The sequence below is a fragment of the Homo sapiens genome, chromosome 7, assembly GCF_000001405.40.
Source record: "Homo sapiens chromosome 7, GRCh38.p14 Primary Assembly".
NCBI classification, from domain to species: Eukaryota; Metazoa; Chordata; class Mammalia; order Primates; family Hominidae; genus Homo; species Homo sapiens.
The window spans coordinates 32,825,589-32,845,824 of record NC_000007.14 but is presented as its reverse complement, the minus strand read 5'-3'; the positions used below and the strand labels follow the sequence as shown (position 1 = coordinate 32,845,824).

The following is a 20,236-nucleotide window of genomic DNA, read 5'->3' as shown; positions in this document are numbered from 1 at the left end:
GCTATTTTGATCGCCTCTTTGCCCATCCTTACTTTCCTCACACTAAAGCAAAAATATTTTTAAATGCTAAAAATATGCAAAATACTGAGCTTTAATGCTGTTTTGTCACACCTATGGAACCTGCTATCACTCTGCATTGCCATCAAAGGTGTGGATGCTCCACAGCACTGGTGCTGTGAGCTGTGGCCACGGCTGCATAGCAGGGACCTTCAGGCCTCTGCTCCAAACTGGCTCTCCTAATATATAGTCACATTTTGCTGGGGGTTACATTCATAAACCCTGCTACAAGAGGATCCTTCTGGAAAAAGCTAATTTATACTACTTGTAATGGTTCCCAGCAAATGAAGCAGTTATAATAGTATTTTTAATGCTTTTTTCCTGTACAGAATTTCTACTTATTACATGTGAACTTATTTGGAAGGAAATTACTGGGGGTGAGAAAAATATAAAATAAATGTAAAAATATAATTTTTAAAAATTGTAGCTGCTGGATGTACACAATCAGCCACACTCAGGTGAGCAACAATCACAGATAAGCAGCGCGCACCTCCCTCTCCCTGCTCATGTCGACTCCCATCCTCAGCCTCAAGTGTCACTGCCCATTTTCCTGGACTGTTGTGCATCATCGCTCAAATGTTGCTTTTAATCCACAAATCACGGGCTGCTTTCCTATTTTCTAAAACTAGCAAAAGCCTAAGAAATAAAAATAGTCAACCAGCAAATGAGAAACAGTGGTCACAAATCTGAAGAACGCTGCCAGAGTCCCTCTCCTGGGCCGCCTCCAGGGAAGGAGCATCCCTAGGAGCTGCGGCTCTGGGCACTGGGGCAGGACTGGGGGGCGCTGCTTCTCTGAGGGCACACTCCTCAGCCTTTGCAGCTGACTCATGTCAGCAAGCTGCTGCTTCCTCGAGACCAGGCCTGCCCTTGGGCTCTGGTAAGAAGGTAGAAAGGGAACAGCGGCTTCCAGGAATGGGCACCAGAAACCATGCCTGAGGACTAAGGTCTGAAGGACAATCCACAATGAGGTTAATCTGCCTGTGGTTAAGAAAGAGAAGCTGTATAATTAAATGTGTAGTCAGTCAGCCATAGTCATGGTTTGCTTAGAATTTAAAACCCTAAAACCTTTTCTCAGAGCTACGAGGTTTCATCGTTTTGAAGAATCTCATTTCACACAAATTAACTTCTAGGAAACAAAAATTCATACAAGGAATTCAAAGAAGGTGTAGAAATTTCTCAAAATAAAAATAAATAGGAAGAAGAAAACTAAAGAGGAGGACGAAATATACTCATTCCTCATACTGAAATGATGATTTTTAGAACCAAAATTATAACATAAGGCTTAAGGCTTTGTCTTAGTAAAGACAGGCAATCTTAAAAGTAAAATATAAAAACTTCATTTATTGTTATTCTTTACATTTTTGACAGGAAAATTAGTCATGTTTTATTGTATCTTAAGAGTAAAAGGAAAATTACCATGTACTACAGTCTACTGTTCCACTATAAGTGATGTCTACTCAAATATACATTAGTTTCTAGATGCACTATATTTGGGGTTGTTCAAAATAGTTTTTCTTAAAACTACAATTAAACATGAAAAAATTTTAAAGTGGTTTAAAGTATTAAAATGTAAACATTTGAATAATGCTAAAAAATAAGAAAAGTACAGTTACCAATAATTTTTTTAAAACCAAGAATAAGTATTTGATAAGCAACTAAATGAGTAAACAGTACTTATTTGACAGAAAATGTTGGGGGGAGGAGGAGAGGAGAGAGAGCGAGAGAGAGAAAGAGACATGATAATGCCACATGGCTGGAAGTTAAGGGAATTTCCTAACCACAAGGCCCAAGAGTTTGGATTAATAATGGGCAGGAAAAGCTTCATTAACAGGAGAACAGAGAACAAAAAGAGCACAAGGAAGCAAAACAGACAGATAGTTCCGCAAAGCAAACACTCCATGTCTGCCCCATCTACTGTAACTCAAGTTGATGACAGGGGCTGACATGACCGAAGAACTTACAATCACTGAAATGTCCAAAAGACAAGAGCAAGAGGCAGAAAAAAGAAGCAAGGGGCATTAATAGTTCTTACACTATAAAATCAGCCCCTACATTGTCAGAATTGTCCTGTATTTTCACGTCATCCTTGTCACAACTCATTGTGTTTTCTTTATATAGATAACTTTGCTCACTTTAGCACAAATATGGAAGTCAAGTACAAGCATATACTCATTTGCATAGCAAATTTTAAAGGGGGCATTGAAATAGTAACCAATTGATAAAGGTATTGTCAGGCCTCTGAGCCCAGGCCAGGCCATCGCATCCCCTGTGACTTGCACATATACATCCATATGGCCTAAAGTAACTGAAGATCCACAAAAGAAGTAAAAACAGCCTTAACTGATGACATTCCACCATTGTGATTTGTTCCTGCCCCACCCTAACTGATCAATGTACTTTGTAATCTCCCCCACCCTTAAGAAGGTTCTTTGTAATTCTCCCCACACTTGAGAATGTACTTTGTGAGATCCACCCCTGCCCACCAGAGAACAACCCCCTTTGATTGTAATTTTCCATTACCTTCCCAAGTCCTATAAAACGGCCCCACCCTTATCTCCCTATGCTGACTCTCTTTTCGGACTCAGCCCACCTGCACCCAGGTGAAATAAACAGCCATGTTGCTCACACAAAGCCTGTTTGGTGGTCTCTTCACATGGACGCGCATGAAATTTGGTGCCGTGACTTGGATCGGGGGACCTCCCTTGGGAGATCAATCCCCCCTCCTTCTGCTCTTTGCTCCATGAGAAAGATCCACCTACGACCTCAGGTCCTCAGACAGACCAGCCCAAGAAACATCTCACCAATTTCAAATCCGGTAAGCGGCCTCTCTTTACTCTCTTCTCCAACTTCCTTCACTATCCGTCAACCTCTTTCTCCTTTCAATCTTGGTGCTACACTTCAATCTCTCCCTTCTCTTAATTTCAATTCCTTTCATTTTCTGGTAGAGACAAAAGAGACACGTTTTATCCGTGGACCCAAAACTCCGGCGCCGGTCACGGACTGGGAAGGAAGTCTTCCCTTGGTGTTTAATCATTGCAGGGACGCCTCTCTGATTATACACCCACGTTTCAAGGGTGTCAGACCACGCAGGGACGCCTGCCTTGGTCCTTCACCCTTAGCGGCAAGTCCCACTTTTCTGGGGAAAGGGCAATTACCCCAACCCCTTCTCTCCTTGTCTCTACCCCTTCTCTGCTTTCCTGGGGAATGGCCAAGTACCCCAACCCCTTCTCTCCTTGTCTCTACCCCTTCTCTGCTTTCCTGGGGCAGGGGCAAGTACCCCTCAACCCCTTCTCCTTCACCCTTAGTGGCAAGTCCCGCTTTTCTAGGGGGAAAGAACCCCCAAACCCCTTCCCTTCATGTCTCTACGTTCTCTTTTCTCTGGGTTTGCTTCCTTCAATATAGGCAACCTTCCACCCTCCATTCCTCCCTCTTCTCCCTTAGCCTGTGTGCTCAAGAACTTAAAACCTCTTCAACTTACACCTCACCTAAAACCTAAACACCTTATTTTCTTCTGCAACACCGCTTGGCCCCAATACAAACTCGACAGTAGTTCCAAATAGCCGGAAAATGGCACTTTGAATTTTTCCATCCTACAAGATCTAAATAATCCTTGTCGTAAAAGGGTCAAATGGTCTGAGGTGCCTGACATCCAGGCATTCTTTTACACATCAGTCCCTTCCTAGTCTCTGTGCCCAGTGCAACTCGTCCCAAATCTTCCTTCTTTCCCTCCCGCCTGTCACCTCAGTCCCAACCCCAAGCATCACCAAGTGTTTCTAATCTTCCTTTTCTACAGACCCATCTGACCTCTCCCCTCCTCGCCAGTCCAAGCTAGGTCCCAATTCTTCCTCAGCCTCCGCTCCTCCACCCTGTAATCTTTTTATCGCCTCCCCTCCTCACACCTGGTCCGGCTTACAGTTTCGTTCTGTGACTAGCCCTCCCCCACCTGCCCAGCAATTTACTCTTAAAAAGGTGGCTGGAGCCAAAGGCATAGTCAAGGTTCATGCTCCTTTTTCTTTATCCCAAATCAGAAGCGTTTAGGCTCTTTTTCATCAAATATAAAAACCCAGCCCAGTTCATGGCTCGTTCAGCAGCAACCCTGAGATGCTTTACAGCCCTAGAAACTAAAAGGTCAAAAGGCCATCTTATTCTCAATATACATTTTATTACCCAATCTGCTCCCGACATTAAATAAAACTCCAAAAATTAAATTCCGGCCCTCAAACCCCACAACAGGATTTAATTAACCTCGCGTTCAAGGTGTACAATAATAGAAAAAAGTTGCAATTCCTTGCCTCCACTGTGAGACAAATCCCAGCCACATCTCCAGCACACAAGAACTTCCAAACGCCTGAACCGCAGCGGCCAGGCGTTCCTCCAGAACCTCCTCCCCCAGGAGCTTGCTACAAGTGCCAGAAATCTGACCACCAGGCCAAGGAATGCCTGCAGCCCAGGATTCCTCCTAAGCCGTGTCCCATCTGTGTGGGACCCCACTGGAAACCGGACTGTTCAACTCACCTGGCAGCCACTCCCGGAGCCCCTGGAACTCTGGCCCAAGGCTCTCTGACTGACTCCTTCTCGGCTTAGCGGTTGAAGACTCATGCTGCCCGATCGCCTCAGAAGCCCTGTAGACCATCACGGACGCCGAGCTTTGGGTAACTCTCACAGTGGAAGATAAGTCCGTCCCCTTCTTAATCAATACGGAGGCTACCCACTCCACATTACCTTCTTTTCAAGGGCCTGTTTCCCTTGCCTCCATAACTGTTGTGGGTATTGACGGCCAAGCTTCAAAACCCCTGAAAACTCCCCCACTCTGGTGCCAACTTGGACAACACTCTTATGCACTCTTTTTTAGTTATCCCCACCTGCCCAGTTCCCTTATTAGGCCGAGATATTTTAACCAAATTATCTGCTTCCCTGACTATTCCTGGACTACAGCTGCATCTCATTGCCACCCTTCTCCCCAGCCCAAAGCCTCCTTTGCATCTTCCTCTCATATCCCCCCACCTTAACCCACAAATATGGGACATCTCTACTCCTTCCCTGGCAACCGATCACATGCCCATTACCATCCCGTTAAAATCGAATCACCCTTACCCTGCTCAACGCCAATATCCCATCCCACAGCATGCTTTAAAAGGATTAAAGCCTGTTATCACTCGCCTGCTACAGTATGGGCTTCTAAAACCTATAAACTCTCCTTACCATTCCCCCATTTTACCTGTCCTAAAACCAGACAAGGCTTACAAGTTAGTTCAGGATCTGCGCCTTATCAACCAAATTGTTTTGCCTATCCACCCCATGGTGCCCAACCCATATATTCTCCTATCCTCAATACCTCCCTCTATTACCCATTATTCTGTTCTGGATCTCAAACATGCTTTCTTTACTATTTCTTTGCACCCTTCATCCCAGCCTCTCTTTGCCTTCACTTAGACTGACCCTGACACCCATTAGGCTCAGCAAATTACCTGGGCTGTACTGCCGCAAGGCTTCACAGACAGCCCCCATTACTTCAGTCAAGCCCAAATTTCATCCTCATCTGTTACCTATCTCAGCATAATTCTCATAAAAACGCACATGCTCTCCCTGCTGATCGTGTCCGATTAATCTCCCAAACCTCAATCCCTTACAAAACAACAACTCCTTTCCTTCCTAGGCATGGTTAGCATGGTCAGAATTCTTACACAAGAGCCAGGACCACACCCTGCAGCGTTTCTGTCCAAACAACTTGACCTTACTGTTTTAGCCTAGCCCTCATGTCTGCATGCAGCGGCTGCCGATGCTTTAATACTTCTAGAGGCCCTAAAAATCACAAACTATGCTCAACTCACTCTACATTTCTCATAACTTCCGAAATCTTTTTCTTCCTTATACCTGACGCATATACTTTCTGCTCCCCAGCTCCTTCAGCTGTACTCACTCTTTGTTAAGTCCCACAATTACCATTGTTCCTGGCCCGGACTTCAATCTGGCCTCCCACATTATTCCTGATACCACACCTGACCCCCATGACTGTATCTCTCTGATCCACCTGACATTCACCCCATTTCCCCATATTTCCTTCTTTCCTGTTCCTCACCCTGATCACGCTTGATTTATTGATGGCAGTTCCACCAGGCCTAATCGCCACACACCAGCAAAGGCAGGCTATGCTATAGCACAAGCCACTATCCCGCCTCTTAGAACCTCTCATTTCCTTTCCATCGTGGAAATCTATCCTCAAGGAAATAACTTCTCAGTGTTCCATCTGCTATTCTACTACTCCTCAGGGATTATTCAGGCCCCCTCCCTTCCCTACACATTAAGCTCGCTCAATTCATCCAAAACCGTATCCAGGCCATCACCAATCATTCTATACGACAAATGTTTCTTCTAACATCCCCACAATATCACCCCTTACCACAAGACCTCCCTTCAGCTTAATCTCTCCCACTCTAGGTTCCCACGCCACCCCTAATCCCGCTTGAAGCAGCCCTGAGAAACATCACCCATTCTCTCTCCATACCACCCCCCAAAAATTTTCGCCGCCCCAACACTTCAACACTATTTTGTTTTATTTGTCTTATTAATATAAGAAGGCAGGAATGTCAGGCCTCTGAGCCCAGGCCAGGCCATCGCATCCCCTGTGACTTGCACGTATACATTCAGATGGCCTAAAGTAACTGAAGATCCACAAAAGAAGTAAAAACAGCCTTAACTGATGACATTCCACCATTGTGATTTGTTCCTGCCCCACCCTAACTGATCAATGTACTTTGTAATCTCCCCCACCCTTAAGAAGGTTCTTTGTAATTCTCCCCACACTTGAGAATGTACTTTGTGAGATCCACCCCTGCCCACCAGAGAACAACCCCCTTTGATTGTAATTTTCCATTACCTTCCCAAATCCTATAAAATGGCCCCACCCTTATCTCCCTATGCTGACTCTCTTTTTGGACTCAGCCCACCTGCACCCAGGTGAAATAAACAGCCATGTTGCTCACACAAAGCCTGTTTGGTGGTCTCTTCACACGGACGCGCATGAAAGGTATGAGTCATTTTTATAATTAGAATGACATTCAAATTGACCAAATAAAACATTTTCTATTTGAAAACAGTTACCTATAAAAGTTTTTGGGATATGAACAACACATGACTTAGCAAAACATTAAAACCATTAGAGATGTAGTTCTCCGTAGGCAGCAGGTCATGTAGCAGTCATTCTTTTACAACTTCTAGGACTTTGTAAACACTGTTCTGGAATACAGTGGTGAAGTGAGGTTTGGAATCCTTCACCAAGAGGTTACATAAGGGAGTTTTCCCAGCATTGGCAGGATCTTCTACATCCCAAATTTCAGGCATACTGCAACCAGGCCTAGAAAAATGAATGTACATGTTAAAAATCAGTATGCATTATATAACTGCAGAGAAAGCAGGGCACTTCTTACATTCCTGATCTCATTTCCTTTTTTCCCCTTAAATTACTTTAGTTTTTAAACAATCCTGTCATGTAGCTTTCATGCGCGTCCATGTGAAGAGACCAACAAACAGGCTTTGTGTGAGCAATAAAGCTTTTAATCACCTGGGTGCAGGCGGGCTGAGTCCGAAAAGAGAGTCAGCGAAGGGAGATGGGGTGGGGCCCTTCTGTAGGATTGGGGTAGGTAAAGGAAAAAGGGGGGTTTTTCTCCGGTGGGCAGGAGTGGGGGTCACAAGGTACTCAGTTGGGGAGCTTTTGAGCCAGGATGAGCCAGGAGAAGGAATTTCACAAGACAATGTCATCAGTTAAGGCAGGAACAGGCCATTTTCACTTCTTTTGTGGTGGAATGTCATCAGTTAAGGCAGGAACCCACCATCTGGATGTGTACATGCAGGTCACAGGGGATACGATGGCTTAGCTTGGGCTCAGAGACCTGACATTCCTGTCTTCTTATATTAATAAGAAAAATAAAATGAAATAGTGGTAAAGTGTTGGGACGGCAAAAATTTTTGGGGGTGGTATGGAGAGATAATGGGCGATGTTTCTCAGGGCTTCTTTGAGCGGGATTAGGGGTGGCGTGGGAACCTAGAGTGGGAGAGATTAAGCTGAAGGAAGATTTTGTGGTAAGGGGTGATATTGTGGGGTTGTTAGAAGAAACATTTGTCATTTAGAATTATTGGTGATGACCTGGATACAGTTTTGTATGAATTGAAAAACTAAATGGAATAAGACAAGGAGAAAAACAGGTATTAAAGGACTAAGAATTGGGAGGACCTAGGACATCTAATTAGAGAGTGCCTAAGGAGGTTCAGCATAGCCTTGCCTGCAAAGATTATTTATTTACTATAAGAGTTAAGAGTGGCGGTTTGGGGCTAGCACCAGGAGATATCAGCTGTGATGGCTTGGAGAAACAGTGTAAACTGGCAGTGTAAACAAGAGCAGGGCACGTATGAGTAGCTGAGAACAGTGAATAGGAGTATGACTAGACAGAAGACAGTAGGGATGACAAGTTTTTTGGGGCACAGTCCAAGTTGGTCTGGTGTCTGGAATGATACTGGGGCCTAATAAAAAGGAGCATCTATATGGGAGCTCAAATGGGCTGTACTTTGTAGCATTCTGAGGACAGGCCTGAATTCTGAGAAGGGAAAGTGGTAAAAGTATTGTCTATTCCTTTTTAAGTTGGTGGCTGAGCTTGGTAAGGTGTGTTTTTAAAAGACCTTTAGTATGTTCTACTTTTCCTGAAGACTGAGGACTGTAAGGGATATAAAGGTTTCACTGAATACTAAGAGTCTGAAAAACTGCTTGGCTGATTTGACTAATAAAGGCTGGTCTGTTATCAGACTGTATAGAGGTGGGAAGGCTAAACTGAGGAATTATGTCTGACAGAAGGGAAGAAATGTCTGTGGTGGCCTTCTCAGACCCTGTAGGAAAGGCCTCTACCTATCTAGTGAAAGTGTCTACTTAGACTAAGAGGTATTTTAGTTTTTGTGACTCAGGGCATGTTGAGTAAAGCTAATTTGCCAGTCCTGGGTGGGGGCAAATCCTTAAGCTTGATGTGTAGGGAAGGGAGGGGGCCTGAATAATCCTTGAGGAGTAGTAGAATAGCAGATGGAACACTGAGAAGTTATTTCCTTGAGGACAGTTTTCTACAATGGAAAGGAAATGAGAGGTTTTAAGAGGCGGGCTAGTGGCTTGTGCTACAGCATAGCCTGCCTTTGCTGGTGTGTGGCAATTAGGCCTGGTGGAACTGCCATCAATAAACCAAGTGTGATCAGGGTGAGAAACAGGGAAGAAGGAAATGTGGGGAAATGGGGTGAACGTCAGGTGGATCAGAGAGATGCAGTCATGAGGGTCAGGTGTGGTATCAGGAATAATGTGGGAGGCTGGATTGAAGTCCGGGCCAGGAACAATGGTAATTGTGGGAGACACAGCAAAGAGTGAGTACAGCTGAAGGAGCCAGGGAGCAGAAAGTATATGCGTCAGGTGTGAGGAAGAAAATAGATTTTGGAAATTATGAGAGCTGTAGAGAGTGAGTTGAGCATAGTTTGTGATTTTAAGGGCCTTTAAAAGTATTAGAGCGGCAGCAGCCACTGCATGGAGACATAATGGCCAGCTTAAAACAATAAGGTCAAGTTGTTTGGACAAAAAGGCTACAGGATGCCATCCTGGTCCTTGTGTAAGAATTCTGACTGCACAGCCCTGCACTTCAGCAGTGTGTAATGAAAAGGGTTGGGATGAGTCAGGGAGAGCTAGAGTGGGGGCAGTCTCTAAAGCTGTCTTCAAGGAACGGAAAGGAGTGGGGAAAGGATTTAGGATCTATGGGGTCAGCTAGGTTTCCTTTTGTGAGTTTATAAAATGGTTTTAGAATGGCAAAACCAGGCATCTAAAGTTGAAAGTATCCAACCATGCCTAGGAAGGAAAGGAATTGTTGTTTTGTAGAAAGTGCTGGGTTTTAAGAGATCAGGTGGACATGATCGGCAGGGAGGGCACATGTGTTTTTATGAGAAGCCAAGATAGGTAACTGATGAGGAAGAAATTTGGGCTTGACTGAAGTAATAGGGGCTGTCTGTGAGGCCTTGTGGCAGTATAGCCCAGGTAATTTGCTGAACCTGATGGGTGTCAGGGTCAGTCCAAGTGAAAGCGAAGAGAGGCTGGGATGAAGGGTGCAAACGAATAGTAAAGAAAGCATGTTTGAGATCCAGAACAGAATAATGGGTTGTGGAGGGAGGTATTGAGGCAGAGAGTATATGTGTTGGGCACCACGGTGTGGATAGGCAAAACAATTTGGTTGATAAGGTGCAGATCCTGAACTAACCTGTAAGCCTTGTCTGGTTTTAGGACAGGTAAAATGGGGGAATCGTAAGGGGAGTTTATAGGCTTTAAAAGGCCATGCTGTAGCAGGTGAGTGATAACAGACTTTAATCCTTTTAAAGCATGCTGTGGGATGGGATATTGGCATTGAGCGGGGTAAGGGTGATTAGGTTTTAATGGGATGGTAAGGGGTGCATGATCGGTCGCTAAGGAGGGAGTAGAGGTGTCCTATACTTGTGGGTTAAGGTGGGGAGATATAAGGGGAGGATGTGAAGGAGGCTTTGAACTGGGGGAAAAGGCAGCAATGAGGTGTGGCTGTAGCCCAGGAATAGTCAGGGAAGAAGATAATTTAGTTAAAGTGTCTTGGCCTAACAAGGGAACTGGGCAGGTGGGGATAACTAAAAAGGAGTGCTTAAAAGCATATTGTCTAAGTTGGCACCAGAGTTGGGGAATTTTAAGAGGTTTAGAAGCCTGGCTGTCAATACCCACAACAGTTATGGAGGTAAGGGAAATAGGCCCTTGAAAAAAAGGTAATGTGCAGTGGGTAGCCTCTGTATTGATTAAGAAGGGGACAGACTTACCCTCCACTGTGAGGGTTACCCAGAGCATCTGTGAAGGTCCTATAGGCTTCTGAGGCGATCGGGCAGTGTCAGTCTTCAGCTGCTAAGCCAAGAAGGTCTGGGAAGGTGTCAGAGAGCCTTGGGCCAGAGTTCCAGGGGCTCTGGAAGTGGCTGCCAGGGGAGTTGAACAGTCCGATTTTCAGTGGGGTCCTGAACAGATGGGACACAGCTTAGGAAGAATCCTGGGCCATGGGCATTCCTTGGCCCAGTGGCCAGATTTCCAGGGCTTGGGGAGGAGATTCTGGAGGAACCCCTGGCAGCTGTGGTCCAGGCATTTGGAAGTTCTTGTGTGCTGGAGATATGGCTGGGATTTGTCTCACAGTGGAGGCAAGGAATTGCAACTCAGAAATACATTGCTACTTGGCTGCCTCCACTTTATTATTGTACACCTTGAAGGCGAGGTTAGTTAAGTCCTGTTATGGGGTTTGAGAGCTGGAATTTAATTTTTGGAGTTTTATTTAATGTCGGGAGCAAATTGGGTAATAAAATGTATATTGAGAATAAGACAGCCTTTTGACCTTTTAGGGTCTAGGGCTGTAAAGCGTCTCAGGGTTGCTGCCAAGCAGCCATGAACTGGGCTGGGTTTTTTATTTGGTGAAAAAGAGCCTAACGCTCTCTGATTTGGGATAAAGAAGAAGGAGCATTAACTTTGACTATGCCTTTAGCTCCAGCCACCTTTTTAAGAGGAAATTGCTGGGCAGGTGCGGGAGGGCTTGTTGCAGAAGGAAACTGTAAGCCCGACCGGGTGTGAGGAGGGGAGGTGATAAAAGGATTATAGGGTAGGGGAGCGGAGGCTGAGGAAGAATTGGGACCTAGCTCAGCCTGGCGAGGAGCAGCCTGGGGAGGAGGGGAGAGGTCAGATGGGTCTATAGAAAAGGAAGATTGGAAAGAAGAAAGACTCAGCGACGCTTGGGGTTGGGACTGAGGGGACAGGTGGGAGGGAAAGAAGGAAGATTTGGGACAAGTTGCATTGGGAACAGAGACTAGGGAGGGACCGATGTGTAAAAGAATGCCTGGACGTCAGGCATCTCAGACTGTTTGCCCATTTTACGACAAGGATTATTTAGATCTTGTAGGATGGAAAAATCGAAAGTGCCATTTTCTGGCTATTTGGAACCACTGTCGAGTTTGTATTGGGGTCAAGTGGCATTGCAGAAGAAAATAAGGCATTTAGGTTTTAGGTCACATGTGAGTTGAAGAGGTATTAAGTCTTTGAGAACACAGGCTAAGGGAGAAGGAGAATGGAGGGTGGAAGTTTACCTATAGTGAAGGAGGCAAGTCCAGAGAAAATAGAGGGTAGAGACACAGAGAGAAGGGGTGGGGGGATGCTTGCCCCCAGGAAAGTGGAGAAGAGGTAGAGACATGGAGGGAAGGGGTCGGGGGGTTCTTGCCCCCCAAAAAGTGGTACTTGCCGCTAAGGGTGAAGGACCAAGACAGGCATCCCTCCGTGGTCAGACACCTCTGAAACATGGGTGAATAATCATGTAGGCATCCCCATGTGGTTAAACACCAAGGGAAGACTCTTCCTGATTCTGTGACCGGCGCCGGAGTTTTGGGTTCACAGATAAAACGCTTCACCTTTGTCTCTACCAGAAAAGGAAAGGAACTGAAATTAAGAGAAGGGAGAGATTTAAGTGTGGTGCCAAGATTGAAAGGAGAAAGAGGTTGAGGGATAGTGAGAGAGGTTGGAGAAGAGAGTAAAGAGAGGCCGCTTACCCGATTTAAAATTGGTGAAATGTTCCTTGGGCTGGTCAGTCTGAGGACCTGAGGTCGTAGGTCGATCTTTCTCATGGAGCAAAGAGCAGGAGGATAGGGATTGATCTCCTAAGGGAGGTCCCCCAGTCCGAGTCATGGCACCAAATTTTACTCGCATCTGTGTGAAGAGACCACCAAACAGGCTTTGTGTGAGCAACAAGGCTGTTTATTTCACCTGGGTGCAGGTGGGCTGAGTCTGAAAAGAGAGTCAGCAAAGGGAGATGGGGTGGGGCCATTTTCTAAGATTTTGGTAGGTAAAGGAAAATTACAGTCAAAGGGGGGTTGTTCTCTGGCAGGCCGGAGTGAGGGGTCACAAGGTGCTCAGTAGGGGAGCTTTTTGAGCCAGGATGAGCCAGGAGAAGGAATTTCACAAGGTAATGTCATCAGTTAAGGCAAGGACCGGCCATTTTCACTTCTTTTGTGGTGGAATGTCATCAGTTAAGGCAGGAACAGGCCATTTAAGTATCACTTCTTTTGTGATTCTTCAGTTACTTCAGGCCATCTGGATGTATAAGTGCAGGTCACAGGGGATGTGATGGCTTAGCTTGGGCTCAGAGGCCTGACAATATTGATTTAAAAAAATTATAAAGAACAAATATGCTTAATTCAGAGGCAAGTTGCATTAATTGTATAGATGCTCCTCAACTTACAATGGGGTATGTTCCAATAAACCCATCATAAGTTGAAAATGCATTTAATACACCTAATCTACCCAACATCACGGCTTAGCCTAGCCTACCTTAAACATGCTAGGAACACTTGTATTAGCTTACAGTTTGACAAAATCATCTAATACAAATGCTGTTTTATAACAAAATGTTGAACATCTCATGTAATTTATTGAATGCTGTACTGACACTGAAAAACAGAATGGTTGTATGGGTATTTGAAGTATGCTTTCTACTGAATGCATATGGCTTTAACACTGTCATAAAGTAAAAAAATCAGTAGGTCAAAACATCTTAAACTGGACAGTTGATATTCTAGAATGAATCAATTTAAAGAAATTCTGGTAGTGTTGGACATACATCTTAGCTAAATACATAATTAAATCTCAAAAGCAATATATATAAAGAATAGAATAAGTAAAATTGGCATCATATGACATTTGCCTAAATAAGTCCTTCAAAATAACAGTACCATTTATTTTAAATCAAGAACAGTTTTATAGATAGAACTGTTGGATACTGCTATCTACCTTTTGAGGAATTTTAAAAAACAGAAAAACATATGGGAAAATTATAGAGAATTGACAACTGCTCATGTTTTGTCATAATTGCTTCCCTTTTTAGTTTTATTTCTAAATAAGAGAAAAAAAATTCCCAACAAGTCCCTCTTATGTTTAGTAGCAGTCCCTTCCTCACTCTCCACCATGAGGCAAACACTGTAGCAGGGATGTACATCATTTTCCCTTTTTAAATAACATATTTAATTTATAAGTAATCAGTCATTATAAAAGTACCAAATATAGACCTACATACATTTTAAGAAATGAAAGTCACCATCATCTCCAATAGCATTTCTCAGAGGTGACTTCTATAAACAATCCAGCATATATCCTGCTGGACCTTTTTTAAAAAAAAAAATTATTTCAATAGCTTTTGCAAAACAGGTGGTTTTTGGTTACATGGATAAGTTCTTCAATGGCAGTTACTGAGATTTTGGTGCACCCATCACCAGAGCAGTATCAAGTATACTCAGTGTGTAGTCTTTTATCCCTCACCCCACTCCTTGCTTCCCCGGAGTCCCCATAGTCCATATCATTCTTTTGCTTTGCATCCTGGTAGCTTAGTTCCCATTTATAAGTGAGAACATACAATATTTGCTATCTGCTGGATCTTTTCTTATCCAATGTCAGATACACATACAGACACAGACATCATATATATAAGTTTATCCTATTAATTCTGTCCCTCTGGAAAATCCTGACAGATGCTCTTGAGTTGTTTTTACAAAAATGGAATTATTCTGGGACTCTATACTGAACAATAAAATGTGGCACTATTTTTCCATCTCAGTGCATAAAGACCTACTCTATTGTTTTTAAAAGCTGCTAGTTCTCATATGTATTATTTAACGAGTTCTTTACAGACAGATACTTTAATTTTTTCCCATTTTGCCATTATAAAGCAATGCAGCTACAAGCAGTCTTGTGCGGTGCTCCCTTCTGCAAGCTAAACCTCTAGAGCAGCAGTCCCCAACATTTTTTGCACCAGGGACTGGTTTTGTGCAAGGTAATTTTTCCATGGATTGGAGGGTGGGGGCAATGGTTTTGGGATGAAAGTGTTTCACCTCAGATCATCAGGCATTAGATTCTCATAAGGAGCACGTACCCTAGATCCCCCGCATGTGCAGTTCACAATAGGGTTCATACTCCTATGAGAATCTAATGCTGCCACTCATCTGTCAGGAGCCAGAGCTCAGGCTGTAATGCTTGTTCACCCTCCGCTCACCTCCTGCTGTGAGACTGGGTTCCTAACAGGCCACAGACCAGTACTGGTTCATGGCCGGGGGCTTGGAGACCCCTGCTCTAGAGGCAACATTATCACTCTGCCAAAGGACTGCACAATTTTTTTCTTACCTTCCCTTCATCAAACTATCCCCTAGAAATGTTTTGCCAGCGAGTGTTCCCATGAAGAGGGCTCAAGTACACACTTTTTGCACACCCTTGCTGACACTGGTTTCTACTGACATGGAACACCTATGATCATATGGCTGGGCATGGGTTTTCTACCTTGGAATTTTCTCCTACATGTCAAGGCTGAACTGTTACAACACTGAGGGCCCACGGTGGCAGAGAGTGAGACGCACAGAAAGTAGAGAACGACCCACAGTTTTCCTGAGTTCAACAGCTTTTAGGAAAAAGAGAGGGCAAACAGCTGTCTTGGGGAGCTCTGTTTGCCTTGTGCAACACTATTTAGTCCTCATCTGAGTTTCCCAAGGTTTCCCCAGGCCAGCCATCTGCAAATAGCATTAGTGAAAATCTGAATAATTTCCTTCTAAATACATGTATTCTATGTCAACTCTATTATTGGAGTAAAAGAAAGCAGAGAACTGTAGTTAATTTAAAACTAATCTACAACTTGCATGCAAATAGATTTGAATGTTTATATTTAAACTCAGTGTCAAATATTTAAGGAATAATCAAGCCATACAATTAAGCCACTTGTAAATGAGATCATTTAAACATAGTGCTCACCAATTGCCAGGCACAGATTAAGCACTAGATAAATATTGGTCCCTCTTCCCCTTCCTCTCCTAACTGAGTTCCCCATCTGCTTCCCCCATTCGGACATACTTTCACGTCCCAGCAATCTACAGGGGTTTCAGGCTGATCATAACTGAAATGGAGAGTGAAGGCCAAGGAAATAAGGAAGGTCCCAAACCTGGCAGAAAGCTTTGTCAAGAAACTTCCTACTGTAAATGTAAACACTAGATAAATATTAGTCATTCTTCACTTTCCTCTCCTATCTGAACTCCCCATTTGCTTCCCTGTCAGGACAGAAAGCACAGCTTTTGTTTTGTGTCAAGGTTGAAGCAGAGTGGACCTGTCCAAGGTTTCCTGACAGTGTGTCATCAGCCTGGCTTAGATCTTGTACTAGATGGAGAGTGTTGTTTTAATGAGTGGGGAAAACAGATGAGAGAGTCACTTTCGTAGCTTCCTCCCACTCAACTCCTGCTGTGACAGACACAATAAATGGCAAGTCAAGGCCCAGATGGGGAAATCCAGCACACCCTCTTCTGCACCCCAACTCTCAGTCTGAGTGCTCGTAAGTGACTTGAAGTCAGTTCAATGTCTGCTGATTTTGTTTAGTGTGCAAAGTTTATTGCCATACATCCTGAATTTGCCTTCATATCCCTTCTTGTGTGGGTAAAACAGTGCTCTGCCTACCCAAACATGAGACTGTTAGAGCTATGCAAATCCAGGCAGCTCTCTCAACACTCTACAGCACAAAGCCTCTGCAACTTTCACATATTCAAACTCTATGCAGGGGTCTAGGCAAAAAATGAACTCTCAAAGGCTCATTGTTAGCTTGGAGAAAAAAGGTTACGAAAATTATTTTTATGTTCCAGTAACTTACAGTTGTTTCAAGAGAGTGAAGCCCAAAGAAATAAAGAAGATCCCCATTCTGGTGGAAAGCTATGCTAAGAACAGAGTTCTTCCTATTGCAAATGTCAGCCTATCATTCATTTCATATAATTTCCTGATCGTCATGAGATGCTTAGAACTTTTCTGTCCTAAATTTATATAACAATGTGAAAGGTGAGTATATGAATTTCATATATATTCACAAACGCTTAAAGCATTTTCTAAATTATTACAAAATAACATTTTCTATAAATCCTGACTGAATTCAAACCACATAGCACACATTCATAGGAAAATCATTTTATAATCGACAATTATTTTAGTTGCCTTATGAGCAAAGCTGTAGATACTATGTCACAGAACTATTTTTCACTCACGACTCAGTATTTAACAATGTTGTCTTAATACCATATGTGTCATTGAAATATATGGTGGGCAAGTATGATCAAGCCACAAATATAGCAATCTCTTGAACACTTTTGTTTAGTTACAGAGTAGTAAGAATTTTAAAAATATTATTATTCCATAAAATAGTGTTTATTTCTGATAAAATTGTTCCTGTACTGTGCTCTTCATGAAGTGACTGTTTTGGTACTTTAAAAGCAGGCTACTGTCACCTGGTGTCCAGTCACTTACGTGCCACATTTCTAGATAGCTTTAGATTCACATCTGCTTTGAAGATCTTACTGTCACTTGGAGCTATACTCAGCTTAGTAAACATCTCTTTGGAAATAGAAACTTAAAAACTATAAACCCAAGAGAATGTGGGTCACAGTAGAGTCATTTTCCCATTCAAGTAAGATGTGAAACACCAGGAAAGAAAAGTTTCATTCTGAGTTTTTGCTGACAGGGTATCCCATCCATCGACAGGACATGGTGTAGCACAGAGACCCAGTAAGGATAATGTGACCCCTGGTGCTCAGCTGCCTGACTTCACCAAAAGAGACTCCCCATTACTTGGTTTCAGACCCTGGAAGTCTTTTGAAAGAAAATACATCCAACTTTAAATAAAAGTTTCTTTAAAAACATCAAAAGCAAATATGAACAATTTGGGAGATTATCAACTAGTTCCAATAAAATCTCTTTAAGGTAGTATGCACATACAAACCATTATTTTAAAAAAAGATATTTATAAAGACTAGAAAAGAAAGTCTCCAAATCATTATCAAGAAGGTTTTTTCAGGCCAGGCATGGTGGCTCACGCCTGTAGTCCCAGCACTTCGGGAGGCCAAGGCAGGAGTAGCACTTGAGGCCAGGAGTTTGAGACCAGCCTGGGACAACATGGCAAAACCCCATCTCCACTAAAAATACAAAAATTAGGCGGAGGCTGCAGTGAGCTTAGATTATGCCACTGCACTCCAGCCTGGGCAACAGAGAGCCTATTTAAAAAAAAAAAAGTTTTTTCCACGTATACTTTATGTTATATACACACCCCCGCCACCAGCAAAGCATGTGCCATGTGCTTGAATTAACCTTCGTGTCTTATGATTATAAAATGTTAACTGTGTTGATACTCACTTGGATCTTCTTACACACCATGACTTTTCTAGAATGTAATAGTTCACTTTTAACTATCAGTTCTCGCTTCACTTCTTCAGCTGCTTTCTGACTATACATTGAGTATACTATTTTTGTTCTGGCACTTTAAAGAAAAATAATTGGGAACAAAATTTCAAGATTAAAATGATACAATAACACATTTGGAAGAAAGCACTGAATTAGACTAGAAGACAATGAAGAAGAATCCAGTCAGGAGGAAATTCCCCATGGAAGTTCCTGCGAAGGGGCATCAGTGAGGTCAAAAGCAGAAGGCAGGAGGAGGACAAGTTGTGGAGAAGAGGGTGACCTTTAACACACCCCTACATTCCCAAACTTGGTCTCTTTGTGTTTGTTCACTTATTTATTTGTCTTAAATTCTTCACTAATCTATCACATATAAGAGTAAGGTACCCTGTGTGTGAACAGGGATGAACTACAAGAAATACAACTACAGGACTACTCTGAAGCTGCAACAGTCCCAACTTTGATATCAACAATAATTCACATTAAGTGGTTCTTCATTTTTTTTTCTAGATTTTAGAAATACTAAACTTATTTAACAAAATTGGTCTGGAAATTAGCTTGATGAGATTGATTTTTTAATGAAAAATCTTATTTGTAAATGTACATGCCATTGATATGCAAAAGAAGATGCTAATAAGATTCATCTAATCACTTAGAAAATGAATAGCTTCACCTGCCTTAGAAACTGCATGAAAAATTTAATCTTTTTTAAAAAATAATTTAGACAACACATCTCTAAATTATTTTTTAAAGTCTCAAAAAAATCTAAAAATAAAGAAAACACCCAAGATCATTCTAACAGGCTATACTGGTGAAAACCAGAATAAACTCCTCTTTGAATGGGATTATATTTCAAATGACTTCTCCAAACTCAAGAAAAATCACCTATGAGAAAACCTTACTAAACACTCTAAGCTAAACTCTTCAGGGAGTTACAGGATGAAAAGGACTTGGACATTTTAGAGCCCTGTTAACCTGTGGGAAAGTGCTACAGTATTACTTCTTTTTTCTGCCTGCTAGAGAAGATAGCCCCCAAAGTTGTCGCTTTCCTGCCCTGTGAAGACTTAAAGGATTTGTTTAGAGCTTAGCAGTCTTATTTCAGCCTTCTGCTCCCCGACTTGATAAACCTCAGTTCATCATATCCTTTTGGAACATTCCTCATTACTTTGCTGGTGTCCTCCACTCACTGTCTGTTTGCATGGAAGGTTTGATCTCAAGCCTGCATCTTCATAATGTGGATGATTCACAATGGGCTGAAGCACAGAGAGCTTAACACTTGCCATCCTGGGCGTGGCACCTGCAAACATTGCATCTGGAAGTCAAGAGGAATGTCTCAGGAAGACACTCAGTGAGGGTGAGAAGGGGTCTCCTTCAAGTGTAAATTATTTCACAGGTAGCAGAGTGGAGGCCCAGCAGGTTCATGACTTCAAGATTCAATGGCAGAACTAGAATGAAGTCAGATGCCTAGGTTTTCTTCTAGGGTTTTTATGGTTTTAGGTCTAACGTTTAAGTCTTTAATCCACCTTGAATTAATTTTTGTATAAGGTGTAAGGAAGGGATCCAGTTTCAGCTTTCTACATATGGCTAGCCAGTTTTCCCAGCACCATTTATTAAATAGGGAATCCTTTCCCCATTGCTTGTTTTTCTCAGGTTTGTCAAAGATCAGATAGTTGTAGATATGCGGCGTTATTTCTGAGGGCTCTGTTCTGTTCCATTGATCTATATCTCTGTTTTGGTAGCAGTACCATGCTGTTTTGGTTACTGTAGCCTTGTAGTATAGTTTGAAGTCAGATAGTGTGATGCCTCCAGCTTTGTTCTTTTGGCTTAAGATTGACTTGGCGATGCGGGCCCTTTTTTGGTTCCATATGAACTTTAAAGTAGTTT

The 20,236-nt window shown here is 42.9% G+C and overlaps 1 pseudogene across 1 annotated transcript, besides 3 other annotated features; it reads right to left on the bottom strand.

The window, feature by feature from the left end:
• Window positions 335-834: an enhancer, noted in NCBI's record as "H3K4me1 hESC enhancer chr7:32884603-32885102 (GRCh37/hg19 assembly coordinates)". NCBI's record gives its function as "activates a minimal SCP1, AML or CMV promoter by ChIP-STARR-seq in naive H9 embryonic stem cells {active_cell/tissue: H9 hESC(naive)}" and the evidence as "EXISTENCE:reporter gene assay evidence [ECO:0000049][PMID:30033119]".
• Window positions 835-1,336: an enhancer, noted in NCBI's record as "H3K4me1 hESC enhancer chr7:32884101-32884602 (GRCh37/hg19 assembly coordinates)". NCBI's record gives its function as "activates a minimal SCP1, AML or CMV promoter by ChIP-STARR-seq in naive H9 embryonic stem cells {active_cell/tissue: H9 hESC(naive)}" and the evidence as "EXISTENCE:reporter gene assay evidence [ECO:0000049][PMID:30033119]".
• Window positions 7,081-19,523, bottom strand: DPY19L1P2 (DPY19L1 pseudogene 2; annotated as a pseudogene). Its single transcript, NR_132360.1, has 6 exons — window positions 19,353-19,523; window positions 18,308-18,431; window positions 12,661-12,817; window positions 12,357-12,550; window positions 10,906-11,094; window positions 7,081-7,411 (listed from the first exon to the last, which is right to left on the bottom strand). The product of NR_132360.1 is annotated as a DPY19L1 pseudogene 2 (transcript).
• Window positions 12,832-13,372: an enhancer, noted in NCBI's record as "NANOG hESC enhancer chr7:32872065-32872605 (GRCh37/hg19 assembly coordinates)". NCBI's record gives its function as "activates a minimal SCP1, AML or CMV promoter by ChIP-STARR-seq in naive H9 embryonic stem cells {active_cell/tissue: H9 hESC(naive)}" and the evidence as "EXISTENCE:reporter gene assay evidence [ECO:0000049][PMID:30033119]".
• Window positions 19,524-20,236: the final 713 nt, after the last annotated feature.